At 33.8% G+C, this 17,822-nt stretch overlaps 1 protein-coding gene and 1 long non-coding RNA gene across 14 annotated transcripts in view; one reads left to right on the plus strand and one right to left on the minus strand.

Annotated features, from left to right (window-relative positions):
* The window catches only part of LOC124900962 (uncharacterized), a 109,210-nt gene that overhangs the window by 4,670 nt on the left and 86,718 nt on the right, over positions 1-17,822 (plus strand). The gene's annotated exons all lie outside the window — the stretch shown is intronic.
* RANBP3L (RAN binding protein 3 like) overlaps positions 342-17,822 on the minus strand; it is a 54,990-nt gene continuing 37,509 nt past the window's right edge. For 5 of the 13 annotated variants that reach the window (NM_001323278.2, NM_001323275.2, NM_001323279.2 and 2 more), the window contains 8 exons: positions 15,368-15,471; positions 14,209-14,293; positions 10,883-10,985; positions 10,370-10,500; positions 8,899-9,019; positions 7,076-7,218; positions 4,742-4,928; positions 342-3,126 (listed from right to left, as the gene is read on the minus strand). In NM_001323278.2, the coding sequence (NP_001310207.1) occupies positions 3,083-3,126; positions 4,742-4,928; positions 7,076-7,218; positions 8,899-9,019; positions 10,370-10,500; positions 10,883-10,985; positions 14,209-14,293; positions 15,368-15,471 (918 nt within the window). In that variant the 3' untranslated portion in view covers positions 342-3,082. Of the gene's footprint in view, positions 3,127-4,040; positions 4,929-7,075; positions 7,219-8,898; positions 9,020-10,369; positions 10,501-10,882; positions 10,986-14,208; positions 14,294-15,367; positions 15,472-17,822 lie in introns of those variants that run through there. The other 8 variants (XM_006714455.5, XM_006714453.5, NM_001323273.2 and 5 more) reach the window with 2 other exon arrangements.

Here is a 17,822-nt window from a genome sequence, read left to right on the forward strand (position 1 = left end):
TTACAGTTGCTTCCCATAATTTGCGTTACTGCCTGAGCTCTGCCTGCTGTCAGATCAGAGGCAGCATTAGATTCTCATAGGATGCAAACACTACTGTAAACTGCTCATGCAAGGCACCTAGGTTGCACGCTCCGTATGAGACTCTAATGCCTGATGATCTGAGGTGGAACAGCTTCATCCCAAAACCACCCCCACCCTACCCACCCCCTAGCCTGTGGAAAAATTGTCTTCCACAAAACCAGTCCCTGGTGCCAAAAAGGTTGGTTACCACTGCTGTATAGGATGTATTCTCCTGGCGAAAAAGCGTTCCTTGTTTTGGCAGTAATGGATGGAAAATAATATTTTTTAAGAGAGAACATTTTAATTGTCTATAATTAGGGTAAACAGTTGGGTAAAATCTTACTAAAAGAAAGTTAAGGTTGTCTTAACACAAGATATATAATGACATAAATTAGTTAATTAAATTTTAATTAAAAACAGCTGCTTTGGAAATCCAACATGTATACTTCAAAATAATTTACCTAAATAACTTATGAAAATGGATGTTATTGTACAACTCATCTCTCCTTATAAAAGGAGAACAAAGGACATAGGAAAGCTGAAAAGAAGGCTAGATGAAGATACAGGACAAGGAAAAACTATAAAATGTTTCTACTATTCCTCCAAAATTGTACTAAATATTTGTGTAAGAATTCTAAGAAAGAATAATGGAGTGTATAGAAAATGGGTTGAAAGAGTTGTGAGCTAAATATCATGTTTCTGTTCTTCTTCTCCATTTCATAATCTGGGAATTTTCTCTTCTCTCTTTGCCTTGCTGATATTCTAACCCTACATTTGGTTTTGTTGCACTGGCATTTCTATATAGATGAGAAATTAAGATAGTTAATTTTTTCCATTGATATATGCGGAGAAATCTAAAGAAAATCATAGAATGAATTCAACTTAAAATGTTTCAAGCATTGAGAAGATAATTGCTTTATCTCTACCTTAGTGTGGGGACGAGGATGAACATGTCAAAAAGATAAAGATGACCAGGTGTGGTGGCTCACGCCTGTAATCCCAACACTTTGGGAGGCTGAGGCAAAGTGTATCACTTGAGATCAGGAGTTCAAGACCAGCCTGGCCAACATGGTGAAACCCCGTCTCTACTAAAAATACAAAAATTAGCCAGGTATGATGGCGGGCGCCTGTAATCCCAGCTACTCAGGAGGCTGAGTGAGGCACGAGAATCCCTTGAACCCGGGAGGGGGAGGTTGAAGTGAGCCGAAATCGTGCCACTGCACTCCAACCTGGGTGACAGAGCGAGACTCTGTCTAAAAAACAAACAAAATAAATAAATGAAGTTATTTGTTCTCTTCTTCACTTTAGCAATTTATAGTGCAATCACAATGTTCCCACATCAGCTGAGATCTTAACAATAAAAGAGAACCAGTGCTTTATTATCTTCTCCAAATATCTCTCTGTGTTATGTTTCTAATGAAAATTTTCTGCTGAGTGTGTTCCGCATCAGAGTCACTCTTCTTGATTTTAAAAAAGAGTATTTCTGTTGTCCATTCTTTTTGTCCTTTCTTTCGTACTAAATCTCTTTTTCCCCTTCTATCTTTTCTTCATCTCTCTCACATTTACTTTATTTTTCCTCTTTATTTTCTGAGTCATTGACTCCTTTATTTAGAAGTAAAGGATATTATGTGCCATATTTCTTCTAGAATCACTGGAAGAATGAATGGGCCTCTCTTAGTAGTTATATTAAGTTATGCTTTCTCAGTTATAAGGAAGGACAAAATGTTGAACAATTGTCATAATCATAATCTGAAAGACTTAATTTAAATTTCATATGCTAAACTTTCAGGCAGTAGCTGAAGTTTGACTTAATAAATACTTATATATTTTTATTATTTTATAACAGGTATGGTAACACAGTAATATAACTTTTGAAAATGTGTGTTTGCATATCCAAATGAATATTGTTCTTCGAAGCATCACTTAGTGAAATTACGCCCTCATTCCAAATATGTTGTCATTGTTCAGAACATTTTCAGAAACATCTTGGAATTATGAATTTTTATCCCCTAATCAGATAATTGCTTAGGGGTCACAATCAAAGTCACTTCGAAGCCATGGTGTGATAAAACTGAATTGAAAAATGAAATAGGGCTATAAGTACTGAGACTAATTTTCTTGTGTGATTCATGAGGTGTCTCTGAAACAAATCGCAAAGAAGAGGATCAAAACTCTATTGTAAAATTGTTGAAATTACTGTAGCCTACTATAATAATATCATTTAAGAAAAAGATTCATTTGGCTACATATGATACATTTGTTTTTCTATACAGCCCCATCTACTAAAATACTAATGAAAATATAATTACATAAATAAAGTAGAACAGTTAACATATTTGGCTTTCTTACACATGCTTTTTGATACATAGGTAATGTATTATATTTTATTTATTCATTTAACAACTATTGGATGCTGACCATGAGTCAAACATTGACAAGATGCAACAGATACAAGTCCAAGAGCAGATGCTCTTTTTAAAGGAATTCATACCATGAATATATAAGCTTATCATATTAGGAAATCCAAAAGCTAAATTAAAATATTTCCCAGAAGATAAATAGGATTTAGTGAAATGTTATCATGCCATTATACTATTTTTCAGAGAAATGACTCTGGAAATTTAGTAAAATATTTGTTTTGTGGTCAAGTATGACTGAAAAAAATAAACATTTTGTTAGGTATTTATCAAATCTAGCAATTTATAATTCTAAGTATTATATCCATCAATGTGATGAAGAGTCCAAATTAGTTATAAAATCCTATTCTAAATAAACTTCTTCAAAAATGATAAATTTTGAACTTCTGAAGTCCATTTTTTTAAATTCTGTCAGTTTCTGCACAATAATCAAAATGTAAAATGTAAAACATAAAAATGTTAATTGCAACAAATTACATTTCTTAAACTTTTCTATAAAAACTCTTCAAGGAATGAATAGAATCTTCTCATTAGTTAGGGTGGTTTAGTATTTTCAGTAGGGTGACCCCTCTTTTTGTAGATGTCATGTTTATAGTAGGTAGTATTCATGAACAGGCAACCGACTGTCTGTGAGTCCAACTAGAAGGATCTGTGATATAAATTTAAAATGTTTTATTATACAATATTATATTTAGGGTAGATTTTTAATATTGAATGCAACTAAACATGAATATTAATGAATATACTCATTGGTGATGAAATAAAAGCTACAGAATATACATTTTTACAAGCAACATTTAGAGATGTTGCTAAAATTTTAATCATGCCTCTTTTAGATAATTTATAAGCAACAAAGTGCAAAAAATTAGACCTTTTATTGCTTCCATAACATTTTAGCATTTGTTTTTACTGCCTCCTGGAGAAGATACTAAGTGAAAATGGGAAAAAATGGCAGGGGAAAGGGGGTTCATATGATTGACATTTGCTTTGCCTTATTTTCATTGTTTTTTATTAAGATAGTTACATAGCACCCCTTTCCTAAAATGGAATATAACAGAATATAGATATCATAAACATGTGTCATTAGTTAGTGAGAGAATTTGCTATTTAATCCTTATTTCAAATTGACATTGTTAATGTGTACCAACTAGTTCTCTGATAGACCCCATTTTATTGTTGGCAGTGTAAACATTATTATAAAATAAAAGATTTTTTTATTTTATATGTTTTAAAGACTAATAAACCATTTGTTTAATAGATTTGCTTAAAGTAGCAAAAAAAATCATATTCACTTAGTTTTCTGAATCACTGGGTCAAGCAGGTTATAATACTGATCTGCATGTTTTGTGTATTTTTCCTTTTGATTATAGCTTTAATATTAAGCAAAGGAAGATATTTCATCCAGTTATGTACGTTCTTTGATAGATTCTTAAATTACATATGATTAAAGCAGCTTTAATATTTCAAAATGATTAAGAGTTGAAAAAAATGCTTGTTACCACACTATCGTTGTAATTGTATTACTCAGTCCTCTGTAAAACAGAATTCAGGACTAAGTGAAACTGTTAGTGAAAACGCTTGGATGACTTTTATTGGAATAATTACATCTGTATAACAAAGTTGAGCTTACTATGTTTGACATTGTTTTTCTCCAAAGAGAAGTACGAATATTAGTTTTAAATCCACATATCAAGATAAGCACTAAAACCTAACAGTCTGTTTATCACTGATTCCACTTCAACCTTACTTTATTTGTGAATCCTGATACAATAAAAGAAATAGTACTTTTTCCCCTAGATAAAATAGGTCCTTGAAAATAGTATTTGTACAATCTAGTTATTCTTACAAGCAGTCAAATTCTAAAAAGGGAATAAACGAATTTTCAGGGTATCAAGCCAAGTTTACCAAGTGGGCTTATTATATGTATTTATAATTCTTCCTAGTATAGCCAATAATAAAATGAAAATAAGTGAAGAGAAATAAAAATGAAGGGTTAATTTCAGGGTAGCAATGTAATAGTTTTTTATGCAGTTTATAAGCAAATGACATAGGCATCACCATGAAGCTGACTTGATAAAATGAAGACCACTTATAGAAGACAGTGATTTTCAAACCCACTCCTCAGATCCAAACAACTAAGGCTCTAGCCACCACTAACTTTAAACAGAGCAGTTCCACTTGTTAAAAAATCTACCTAATATATTAGGATCGTGCTTAAGAATTCTTTTTTAAACCTCTGAACTAACAAAACAAAAGCTATTTACCTGATCCATTTTTAGTGACTTGGATGAAATCATCCTCATTCTCATCACAGCTTTCGCAGTTCAATTGTTGGGCTGTTTCTGACAGGCTTTCAGCTTGATTGACATCTCTCTGCTTATTGAAGCTTTGAAGTGCAACAAGACGATGATGTATTGCTGCATACAAATATGCTGTATCTTGGGCACTGGCCTGCATGAGGAACATTAAATTGTTAAGAAAATCATTAATATGTTAGCTACATTTTACAGATTTTTAATCTTTCACTACTAATAAGGAAGGAATTACATGGCATAAATCTACAGTGTACATAGGTGCTAACAACCCTAAAAATTAAGCAGTAAAAAGACAATCTTGAACCAAATTGAATCCTAAAATGTATACTTTTATAAGCAATCCCAATGTACACATTTTAAATTTAGAAAGTGAAATTTTGTTATATAAAATTTCTATTTGAATTTTTGAATTTAAATTAGTTAAGACCATCCCTCTTTCACTATTTTACACTATAGAAAATTGTAGGATTGCAGAGAATAAAGACTTCCATTTCCTGTCCATCACTTTGCTTGGACATTCCTCCAAACTACATAGCTTTGTGGATATGCTGAGCTCATTAGAGCAGTCTATGGTATTGTACCATAAATACAGCAGAAGTTCTTGCTTTTCAGTATTTTCCTATGCTATTTTAATGGTTGTTATTCATATGAAAATATAAAAACGATGGTAACAATAAAGTTGGCATAACATTTACTGTTAAAATATTCTTTTTTTCAATTCCTTCAGTAAAACTGTGGGTTATTAATTTCGTTTATATTAGCAAAATATAAGCAGCACAGGTATTAAATATATGCTTGTTTCCCTCTTCCCTTTATGAATGAGGAAATTATGGCTCAGAAGGGTAAAATGACTTGTCTGAGTTGCCAGTCAGCAAATTGGCTGAAAGTTGAATCCCAGGTTTTATCATTCGCATTAGTGGGATTAATGGAATAAATTATGGTCCATAATAGAATAGAATTATTTCACCTACTGAAACAATTTTTGAAGAATAAACTAATGTCATGAAGACACTCATTAACATTGATAAGTAAAATAACATGTGTATTTCACAGTCATATTAGCTATTTAATCTCAGCAGCTTTTCTAAAGCCAATAATAAAATGTATAAATAAAATGTACTATTGTTACCATCATTTTGCAGATGAATAAAATCAGTTTAAAGAAGGCTAAGTAGCTTTCCCGAAGGTTATACGGTATGTACGCTATGCTACATATATGTATGTATGTATATTCTTACACACAGTTGTATGTGTATACTAAAATATAAGACCAAAATGTTAATAGTGACCATCTCTGAAGATGGAATCTAGTCATGTTTAACAGGCTCAGTCTCTGGCATGCTACTTTACCCACCTAAAACCAAGGGGGAATCTGGCCCAGACGACTGGCAAGAGTATTAATACCTTAAATGGTAAACGGGGTTTGTACATCATCTTACCAGAACATTTTAATGCTCAATATCACTTACACCTAACAGTACACTTACTGGTAGCTAATAAACTTTGGTTTTTCATCACAGGCACCTGCCAGGTTTTTTTCCATATTACTACATGGAAGCCAATTTATTTGTATTGTCACCTTCTGCCTGAACTTGGGTAATCAGTCTTCTCCAGTCAGTCCATGGGGAAATCCAGTTTTTTTTGAGGGGAGGTTGTGGTTTTGTTTTTGCGTTTCATTTTGTTTTGTTTTTTTAAGCTTTATTCTTGCCAGCTCTCTTGGGTCTGGATCTTGTATTTGAGGTCAAGTATTCCTCTGCCAGGAACAGCTAAAGCTGTGCTCCCATCCTGTTACCTTGGAGATTTACTCATGTCCAGAATTGGAATTTGCTGTTGGACTGGTTGTTTTAACTTGCTAGCTCTGTGTTTTTCCATTTCCCACTGGTTCTTTTCCAGTGACCTAAAGGCTTTTTTCAATCTCAGCTTGCAGGATAAGCATTAGGCTTCAAAGTCTGCTAACCTCTTCCTGGGAACCATTCCTGACAATAGTCACTTTGGTAACAGTAAGATTGTTCACAAAATTTCAATAGTAAAGTAAAGGCTAGAGATTTGATGGCATGTATCACACAAATGTCTTGGAATGAGTACCAATTGATTACATAGACTTTGGTGTTAATTTCTGAATTTCACATAAAATTTATGTCTTATGCTATAAACAGACATAATGAATGGCTGAGTTTTTGCCAATGGTACAGATTATTATACCTAATGAAAAAACAAATTAGTAATTGCAGACGTCTATTAATTTAGTAGGATAATCTTCTATCACTGAAATTTCTCCCTTACCTGAATTAAAAATATTTTGATGCTATAGTCTTCTAAATCAGTAGCTGTTATTCGTACATTTTTGTGGTTTGCTCTTTGAATCTTCATTTGGGCCCAGAGTTTGCTGTTGAGGATCAGCCTTAGACTGCCTTGATTGCGCATAACTAAAATAGGAAGGTGACTACATCAGGCCACAGAACAGTTGACACGGAGGAATTTACCATTTTCAAAAGCAAAATAAATCTTGTAGTTGTTTTTCAGACTGTAGATTCAATACTAACTTGTGATTTGACTAGATTAAAACTTGATTTTCAAATCATACTTTATTATGTTGGGAGAACTTTTTTATCTTAAATGCTGAAATTACACTTTTTTACTGTAATATTTAAAAGTGGTTAAAATTTTAGAACTCCTTTTAAGAACTGATGGTCTGAAGAATATTTGTCCACGAATTGTCTACAATGAAGAAAACCAAAACAAAAACCTTAAGTGTCCAAAAAATGGAATTAGTTAAATAAATTGTGGTGTAGTCATTCAAGAGAATATTATGAACCCATTAAGAATACTGCAAAAATAAATTTATTGATGTGAAAAATCATGGTGTAATATGTAAAAGAAAAAATTAGGCTACAAAGCAAAATAAACACCATGAATCAGAACTTTTACAATCTATGTGTACATCTATATATACAGAAAACAAAGGCCAGAAAAATATATTCTGTTAATAGATGTTATCTCAGGAAGATAGGCCTTTAAGTGACTTTAAAAAAAATTTTTTCAATCCATGCTTTCTGTTTTTTACAATGAATGTGTATTACCTGCATAATAAAAAGAAAGTTTCTTTTGGGGTTTGTTTTTTGTTTTTTGTTTTTCTTTGGGGGTATTTTTTTTTCTTTGGCAGGCAGTGGAATCAAACCAGAGTAGTAAATAACTTGGACCTGCCTTGGGACTATTACTTGGTTGGGTGATTTAGAAATCTGTGTGCCAGTTACAGAACTGAAGACACTTTCTGTCCTTTTAATCTGAATTATATCTCTTAACCATTTCTTGAGTTTGATATCCAAAACTCAACAAATAACCTTATTCTTGGATCCAGTGTCTACCTGTGGTCTCCTCCAAAGTCCTGACCTCTCAAAATTGACCAATAAATCCATTCATCCTGCCCAGATCTCTCCCTGTGCTCTCTTTCAGTTTGGACCTCTGAACAATGCCCATTGCATTATTTTGAATGCTAGCTCTCTTGTATTTTTAGGTTTGACTGGCTCCAGCTTCTGAACATCACTGTGCCTGCAGGATTCAATAACTACACACCTTAGAACTAATCTCTTTCCTTAGAGACTAATCCTTCATCCCGACCCCCATCCCATGTCTGGGATGCCAAGGATAAATTATGGGACAAGTATTTTCTTTTAGAAGATCTTTTCACTTCACAAAATAATTTGCATCATATTCTTTCAAATAATAATAAGATTACTATTTAGGTATGTGCTTGGCTCTGATATAAGTGCTTTACATGCTTTATCTCATTGAAATCTCTCAGTCACTCAATAAGTCATGAACTACAGTTATTCCCATTTTAAATTGATATAAGTAGAGTAGAGAAAGAGATTTAAAAACTTATCAAGGTCACTAGTTAGTCACTGCTGGAGCCAGAACTGGAGCCCATGCAGTCTAACAGGAGAGCCTACTTGAAATGGGAAGCTCCTATAGAAATATTTTCAACAGTCTGATTTTTTGGTGTATTTTATAGCACATCTCCAGAAAATGATGTGTACCTATATTATTATAAGTACACAGGAGAAATCCTGACAAATTATGGCTTGCTTTACAAAAGGATTCCTTACTTAGTCTTGACTGTAATGTTCCACAGTCAGTGCTTGCTGTGTCATTCAGTCTCAACGTTCCTCTGCCCCTTTCAATCCAGGATTGTGTTGTTTTGTTGAATATGAAAAGCTTGCAGTTTATCTAAATGACAATTTTTTAAAATGTCAAATATATAGAAAATTTTTTCAAAGTAAATTATTTCCTATGTTATGACACGTTTATATGTGTCTAGTCTTTTACCAAAATAATCTTTGTTAATGATTTATAAACCAGCTTTTAAAATATATTTAACATTTAGAAACATATAACTTTCGGATAGTTCAAACATCAAAAAGTAAAAAGACATACAAAGTGAAAAGGGCCCCCAGCTTTTATTTCCCATCTACCAATTTCCACCCCTGCAACAAGTAACCACTGGTGTAAATATTTTGTTTATCTTTCCAGAGATATTTGTACATACATACATGCCAATACATATAAATGTTCCCCCTCTTTTTTTCTGTCAATGGTAGAATGCCATACATACTTTCTGATTTTTTAACACTATGTCTATATATACATCAATTTTTATATTAATTATTTGAGCTATATAATGTTATTTGAAAGTAAAAGAATCATTGAACCATTTGCATGCTTCAATATTTTTAAAGAGAGCATGATAACGTGGAGAAGTAGGATGTGATACCACAGGTTACCCTACTGCAATCATTACTACTGTGTACAAGAATCACCTAGACAGCCTGTTAAAAATATAGCATCCTGGAGCCTCACCCCTAACAATTACTTCAATAAGACTGGAATTAATCTAATCCAAGGGTTATGCTTTGAGACACACTTAAAATAAAAGTGTCTGTAGATCATAGAGGAAGTGGAGAGGAATGGAGAGAGTTTAGAGAAAAGCAGATGGAGAAAGGCAAAGGGAAATTTCTGCCTTGTTGGGAAAGGGTAAAGTTGTAGTAATTACATTTCATGTGCTTGTGCTGATGGTGATACTACTCAACATTAAAATCCTGTGATACTGTAGTGTGTATCTGTGAAATTCTTGAATTACATGAAATTCTAAACTTTTTTAAAGGAAGCTAAATTTTATATGAAATTCTAAACTTTTTTAGAAGGAAAACGAAATTCTTATTGGACTGAAATCAAGTTATCAACATTGTTAAACGTGTAAGTAGAATTATTTAATCACAATAATAGCACCAATTGTAAAAGCAAGTATTAAAGCAGGATACTTGGCTGTCTTATTTCTAAGGGACTAATGTGAATAGTTGTAAACCTAACAACCCATTTTCCTGCCAGGTACACATACAAACACAAGAAGAAAATAAATTATTGGTTCAATTTTTGAGAGCATCCAACATTTTTATTTAAGCAACTTAGTCTCCATGAAAACTATACTTCTGTCTGTATTTTTAAAGATGCCTCTTCTCATGTTAACTTTATTCCAAGTATGTAAATGCTACCAGAAAGAGTAAAACATGATATACAGACCTTTAACACATTATGTTCTGTTTCCTCCCCTGTTATAACATCAATTTTCTCCAGCAAGCATTTTCGTGATGGTTGGGAAGAGAATGCAGCAGCTGATTCAATTAGGGAAGTATTTTTAATAGAGTCTGTTCCTAAGAGAAAATGGGGAAAAAACACTTAAAAGTCCCCATTTTCTCTACTGTGAAAGTTCTTTGTTGCCCCTATTACCACATATATCTACTTGGCTTCTTCTAGTAGTAAGTGATTCTAAAAATTCAGACTGCTTGAGTTGGTGTAAAATCTCCTTATCAATTCCCCCATAGCATTAACTCAAAAAATTTTTAAAGCTTATATATCAGATAATCATATTTATATGCTTTAACCTTTACCAAAATATTTGAAACACTGGATTATTGGTTTTTTAAATCTTATAGTAAATATTAATTTTACTTATATTAAATATTAATGTTAATAAATAAAAAACAGGAGACAAACTAGGTGAATCTAATGTTTTACAAATGAAAGAATTCTTACTTGAACTTAAAAAGTTGACAGGAAATTTCGGAATGGATTTGAATGGTTTTTCCTTGGCATATGAATCATTTTCAAGTTGAGGCTGGGTGAGTTTTTGAGTACCCTGAGAGCGGAAAAAGATGCATTATTTTATTTAATAAAAGTTTTAATTTTATCCCTACTATGTTTGCAGTAAGACACTTCCGTTTTTCTGTTTCAACACAGCAAGCAAACCTAGCTGGTATGTTTTTGTTTTGGACTTTCTGTGTGCTGAACAGAGAAATCGTCTCTATTGTTAGAAAGCCTTAGTTCTAATCCTCAGAAAACATAATCTAGTTACCACCAGCCTACTTCAGGTGGGATCTAGTCCCGGAGGCAATGGGAAAGGTCTAAGGGCACAAAAGAAGGTAATAGATGTTCCACACTCTCACTAGACTAAACTGATGCCCAGGAGGTACAAAAGAAAGAAAAGAAAGAAAATGTGCCTTTGAACTCGGGAGTTAAAAAGTATAATTCAATTTAATATTACTTTTAATTAATTTACCATTAGAAATTTAAAGTGACAGCTCTGTATATAGTAATAGAAACATATACCAAGGTATTTCAGTATCCCCAGAAATTTACTCTTGCTATCCACTTTATGGAAAAAAACAAAAAAGTTATCCAGAGACCCCCACAAGATGTCTCAGAGAACATCTTTTTAGAAAAAATCCTAACTTTTCCTCCCAGACGATTTTGCCAACAGTAGCTTTTAAGGCTACTTGGGGCTCTGTATGTCTGTTGTAATCAAGGCCTGCACAAAAAAAGACTAATTGACATGACATTTGTGATAATGTGTAGCCCTCTGCAAAACACAGAGAACTGGAACAATGATACTTAAGAACTTAGGCTTACATTTTTTCCCTTATGAACTGAAAATTCTTTCACATTACTTAACTAGACATCAAGATATTCCCTCAAAATTGGTAGAGATGGGTATAATTATTTCCATTTTAAGAAAATAGAAACTGAGGCACAGAAAGTTTAAATGACTCACTCTAAAAACACATAGTCAGCCAATAAGCCAAGAGTGCATCCTGGCCCCCAAATCACAAGGCCAAAAATTTACAGGATTAGAGGACAAACACAAATTATCTCTATAATTCCTGTTATCCTTAAGATATTACCAACTTAAAGAGATAGTTCAGGTTCCTTTATAAGCCTTTATAAGTTGAGGTTCCTTTAAGCATTTAAAATGCCCACAGGAAATGTGCACAAGTGCCTTCTCAAACAAAACCCGTAGTCCTGACTATAGTTTATTTGTATAGGTATCTCTCTGCCTGCTCTTATTAGATTATAAGCACCTTTAGGGCCCAGTGTCTCCTTTAGCTTGCATAACCACTTAGGTGGTTTTCAAACCTGCCTGTACATTGGAATCACTTGACACCTGGCCTCACCCACAGGCATTCTGAGCTAATTGGTCTGGGATGAGGCCAGGCATAGGAAATCCTTAAAAGAATGATTCTAACAGGCAGCCAAATTTGAGATCAATGCTTTATATACCGTAAGAACTCAGTACATGTTTGGTAAATTGAGTTGAATGTTAAGTTGATCCTGTGAGGTTTGGAAAGCATTGTCTGACATTTTACAGACACTGTGGCTAATCTGGTGTCAAACTTAGAAATAAATGATATGGAATAAATGTGCCTAAATATACTGCCTGTAAATTCACCATGGAGGCTGGTCCATTTTGGTTCACATCCAAAGGCATAGGTCACAGCTCTAGGATTGGTGAGTTGACCTTCATTTTGGGAATGACAGAAGGGTTCCTAAATAAACTAAGCCTTTAAAATGACTAACATATGAAAGCCCTAAAAATTTTGTAATGAGTTTGGGCGCAGTGTCTCATGCCTATAATCCCAGCACTTAGGGAGCCTGAGGCGGGTGGATCGCTTGAGCTCAGGAATTTGAGGCCAGCCTGGCAACATGGTGAAACCCCGTCTCTACCAAAAATACAAAAAGTTAGCCAGGTGTGGTGGTACGTGCCTGTGGTCCCACCTACTCGGGAGGCTGAAGTGGGAGGATCCCTTGAGCCAGGGAGACAGAGGTTGCAGTGAGCCGAGATCGTGCCACTGCACTCCAGCCTAGGTGAAAGAGCAAGACCTCATCTTAAAAAAAAAAAAAAAAAATGGAATGAACTGGCTTAACGAGTTGGTTCTTTTATTAATCTAAATCCGTACATGGGTTTTTAAATCTCTGCAGCTTCTTTGGGATTCTTCATGTAACTGGTATCCCTGAGACAAGCTAGGCACGTTCGAGCTATCTCAGCCACTTTCCTGACTTGAGTGAAAGCTGGAAAAGGTATGAAGATGTGATGGACCAGATAAAACCATAGGCATGGTTTTCCACAGCTTTCACTTTTCTGTAAAATTTTCCACTGTAGATCAGAGTTCTGTGGGGATCAGAGAAGCAGTTACCTCATTGCAAGAGGATGCTGAACATTAAATAAGGATGATGGTAATAACGTGAGGGGTTTTCACTAGGCAAGTATATTCTCCTAGGCAAGTAAAGCACTATGAATTTTCTCTGAAAGCTAGCAAAAGAAAGTTATAATAATGCTTTTTGATGTAAGAGCTTGAAGTTAGGGTTGTGGTTAACTGATAAGAACAAATTGGCTCAAGCTTATAATCCCAGCACTTTGGGAAGCTGAGGTGGGCAGATGACGAGGTCAGGAGATCGAGACCATCCTGGCTAAGACAGTGAAACCCCATCTCTACTAAAAATACAAAAAAAAAAAAAATTAGCCAGGTGTGGTGGCACGCGCCTGTAGTCCCAGCTACTCAGGAGGCTGAGGCAGGAGAATCACTTGAACCCAGGAGGCGGAGGTTGCAGTGAGCAGAGATCGGACCACTGCACTCCAGCCTGGGTGACAGAGCGAGACTCTGTCTCAAAAAAAAAAAAAAAAAAAACCAAACTGGCAAATAATTTTAAATGCATCTTGTTACAAAATGATGACATCGACAAACTATTAAACTATCATTACCAACTGAGCTTATCTAACTATTGCAGATGATTCTGGGATTTCCTTGGGTACTTTTGGTTTAACACAAGTCAAAGAACTATTTAATATTTCACATCAGTAATAATGTTATAATTATACAGTTCCCTTCCTCTGTGGGTTTCTATTATTTTAACAACTAGGACATGCTTCCCAGGAGAATCTTTCCAGTTAAAGAAAGAAAATGTGCGTTTGAACTCAGGAGTTAAAAAGTATAATTCAATTTAATATTACTTTTAATTAATTTACCTTTAGAAATTTAAAGTGACAGCTCTGTATATAGTAATAGAAACATATACCAAAATCTTACCAAAACTCTTTCTACCATGTTTTCTCCAAAAACAAAATTGGAACTGCAGCTTTTAAAAGAACATTTATCTTCATTTGGTTGACATCTAAGAAAATGAAATAAGCATTTACTATTTTAAATACATAGATAAAGCCATTTTAAACCTTGAAATAATCAGATAATTTAATAGATTTATGTAAATCAAATTTACTGCTCACTTTTGTTAGTGTGAATTTAATGAAAAATGAAGGAAAAATTCAGATAGTGGCATCCAGAGGTGATTGTCAAAATAGTTTCCAGCTCTTACAGCACTGGCAGAGACCAGTCCTGACTGCCTCATGCCCATCACTGCACTGGCTGTGTGGTCAGCCAGGAGGGCTTCCCAACCCCTTTTGCTTTTCCAACACACCCTGTCTAGTATCTAATTTCCCCTCTTCTCTTCCTCAAGTGGCTGATGTTTTAGCAACCAGAGATCTCCAGGGCAAAAGCGAAACCCTGTCTGTTATAATTGAGTGTGCATTGGCTTAAATTTTTTGCCTCCCAGAAACTTTTTTTTAATGTTAAAAGTGTTTTTCATGATGAGAAACTCGAAGACCGGAAGCCCGCTCTTTGTAGACAGATGTGCTCAGGGTTCGGCATTGCATCCCCAATGCACATAGAAGGCACCTGCTACCGCACCTGGACAGAGCCCAGTCATGTGAGTCAGTTTATATCCACAGCTAGTTTTAACCTCTCAGATCAAACATTTATCCATCACTAGTAATACTAATAAATATTGCAGATTTATACTGCTTTCCTTGTTGCTTATCTAACCTATGCCAATAAATAATGTATAATGCCAAAATAAAAGAAAAAAATGCTAGAGAGAGAGGAAGAGAGCCTAATCTACTAATCAGATAATTTATGTCCAACTAAATAAAAGTTTAGCCATACATTTTCAAAAAGTTCTCACCCAAGTTAATGAAACAATGAAGACAATCCAGTATTAATATGATAATATTTAAGAATCGAAATATTTTTAAAAACATTTTAAACTTGTGTTTCCTATAAAATCTCCTTTCAAATGGGAATCTTGGCAATTTATCCGTACAAGGTCAGAAAATTATTTTCCATGAATGGTTATAATAATGAAAGAATGCAAGAATGAAAGGACAACGCTTCTATTTTCTCATTAACTTACCCTACTGATGTTGCACCTAAAAAGTCCTGGTTAGTAGACAGCTGGACTGAAATTCTAGCCCTTGATAAATTTTCACTTAACAAATAGGAATTTCCCTCAGAAATCTGAAAGTAAAGAAATCCATCAAAAAGTTTATAAAGACTACCTTACTATAGGACCATCAGACAAGGAAACAATAGTTATAGTTAAATATATTGAAAGCTTACTATGTTTAAGTACTGCCTTAAGCATTTTATGTACGATCTCATTTACTCCTTACAACTCTAACACTTTGTAATTCTATTGTCCACATTTTACAGGTGAGTAAACTGACACAAAAAACTTAAATAATTTGCCCAGGTCACATACAGTGGCGATCTGTCTAATACCGGAATATCATAATATTCAGAAATCCCACCATGTTTTGTTTATTTTTGCCATTTTAGTCAAATTGGGTTAATTCTCATTTCTGGATTAGTAAAGCTCTTTTCAGGACTATTTAATCCTGGGAAACACCCTAAGAATGTCACCATCCTAGTCACCCAATGTGAGAGAAAACCCCACTCATCTATTTATCTTGAAATTTTCAACTAGTAACTTATCCAGTTACTTTGCCTTATGTACATATGTGTATGCACAATACCTGAATTAATATATAAATGTAAGAGTGAGGAAATTTAGAATTGGAAGGAACCCTATACATTATCTGATCTAGTATTTACAATTCCTTCCTCGACCAGGAATTTGCAAAGATGTTTCAGGGCGTTTGTGTCTTTTAAAGCCAGATGGGTTATGTTTCCACTTAAATTTTTATTTCAATCAATAAAAATAATTTTGAGTACTTTTTCTTTTTTAACAAGAGTTTGACAACTGACAAATATGTATCAAGAGAGCATGTGCCATGGTTGGCAAAGATCGAAGTACATGCTCATTACCTAGTCATTCAGATAATGTATCTCTCAGCCAAAATGGTAGTTTTCACTCCTATGTTGGTTAAAATAGTTATTTAGGCATATATTGTTTAATCTATACATAGTAAGTAACCATTGATTAATGATAGGATGAAAATAATTTATCTGATTTTGATATACAAGATAATAAGAAATATAAAGATAATGGTTCTACAAAATCCACCTAGAGATAGTTTTCACAAAATCTTTAAATTACATTCATTTGGTCAAAATTCTTACATAGGATCTTATATACAGTGTGTCTCTGGATCTTCAAAGATCAATAAATGGAAAATTTAATGATGGGCATTAAATTTTCTTTTTAATGATGGGCATATACAGTAGGGCTTTTCAATAACTGGAAATAAGGTTTATTCCCTAGACCTTATAATTTATTCAAAAATAAATATAAACAATAGCTTGAAATTTTCTCTTAAGCTTGGATCATTTAAGAAGAAAATGGAAGAAATATATTAATAAATTTTATTTTAAAATATGCAATGCAATATTTACAAAAATTCTGCCAAGAAAGAAATATTGATGTATTTTTGATGTCATAACATGTAATTAAAATCTTGCTCTATATTTATAGTGCATGCCATTTTAAAATCAAATGCAATATAACTTTTTAGAAATTAGTCAACATATTATACTTTCTATTACATAATTTAAAACAAGTTAAACACCATGCATCACTTCTTTTTTCTCTTTTCTTTTTTGAGACAGTCTGGCTCTGTCACCAGGCTGGTACCATCTCGGTTCACTGCAACCTCCACTTCCCGGGTTCAAGCTAGGACTACAGGCACATGCCACCATGCCCAGCTAATTTTTGTATTTTTTGTAAAGACAGTGTTTTACTATATTGCCTAGGCTTGTCTGGAACGTTTTAGCTCAAGAGATCCACTCATCTCGGCCTCCCGAAGTGCTAGGATTAAAAGAGTGAGCCACCACGCCTGGCCACTTCACTTCTTAAATAAAAGTAAGGAATTATGTAACATGGTGATAATTATTACATTATATTTAAGTGAAAACAATAATATACTTATCTAAAATTGAAGACATGTTTTACTTAAAAATTACTTATATAGCATGCATAAATGATGAAATGATTTTTTAAATTCATAATGGATCTCTCCAAATAATATCTTACAAAGTAAAGAGTTTAGGAATATAAAAATATTGGAAAGTGCTGATCAAGTTCAAGTCCCTTACTTTGCTGATATAAAAAGATGTTGAATGGGTGCTTTGTTTAGATAAACAAAGATAGCAGCAGAGGCAAGATTAGTACCAATCTGGTATTTTTTTACACTTCCGTGTTTCTGTCCTTATGTTCACTAAGGGAAAACAAAGCGAAACTATGTGACCAATCCTCAGTAGTTCAGCTGGAAACAAATGGCTAAGATGGAATAACTCTCAAATTCCAACCTACCTATCTTGAGTCCTATTCCTCCTGTGTCTGCTTCTGCTGGAAGACAGGTAGCACTACAGCAATTGAATATATCCCCAAACCCATATCTGCACGGCTT

This window comes from Homo sapiens, chromosome 5 (assembly GCF_000001405.40).
Source record: "Homo sapiens chromosome 5, GRCh38.p14 Primary Assembly".
Taxonomy (NCBI): Eukaryota; Metazoa; Chordata; class Mammalia; order Primates; family Hominidae; genus Homo; species Homo sapiens.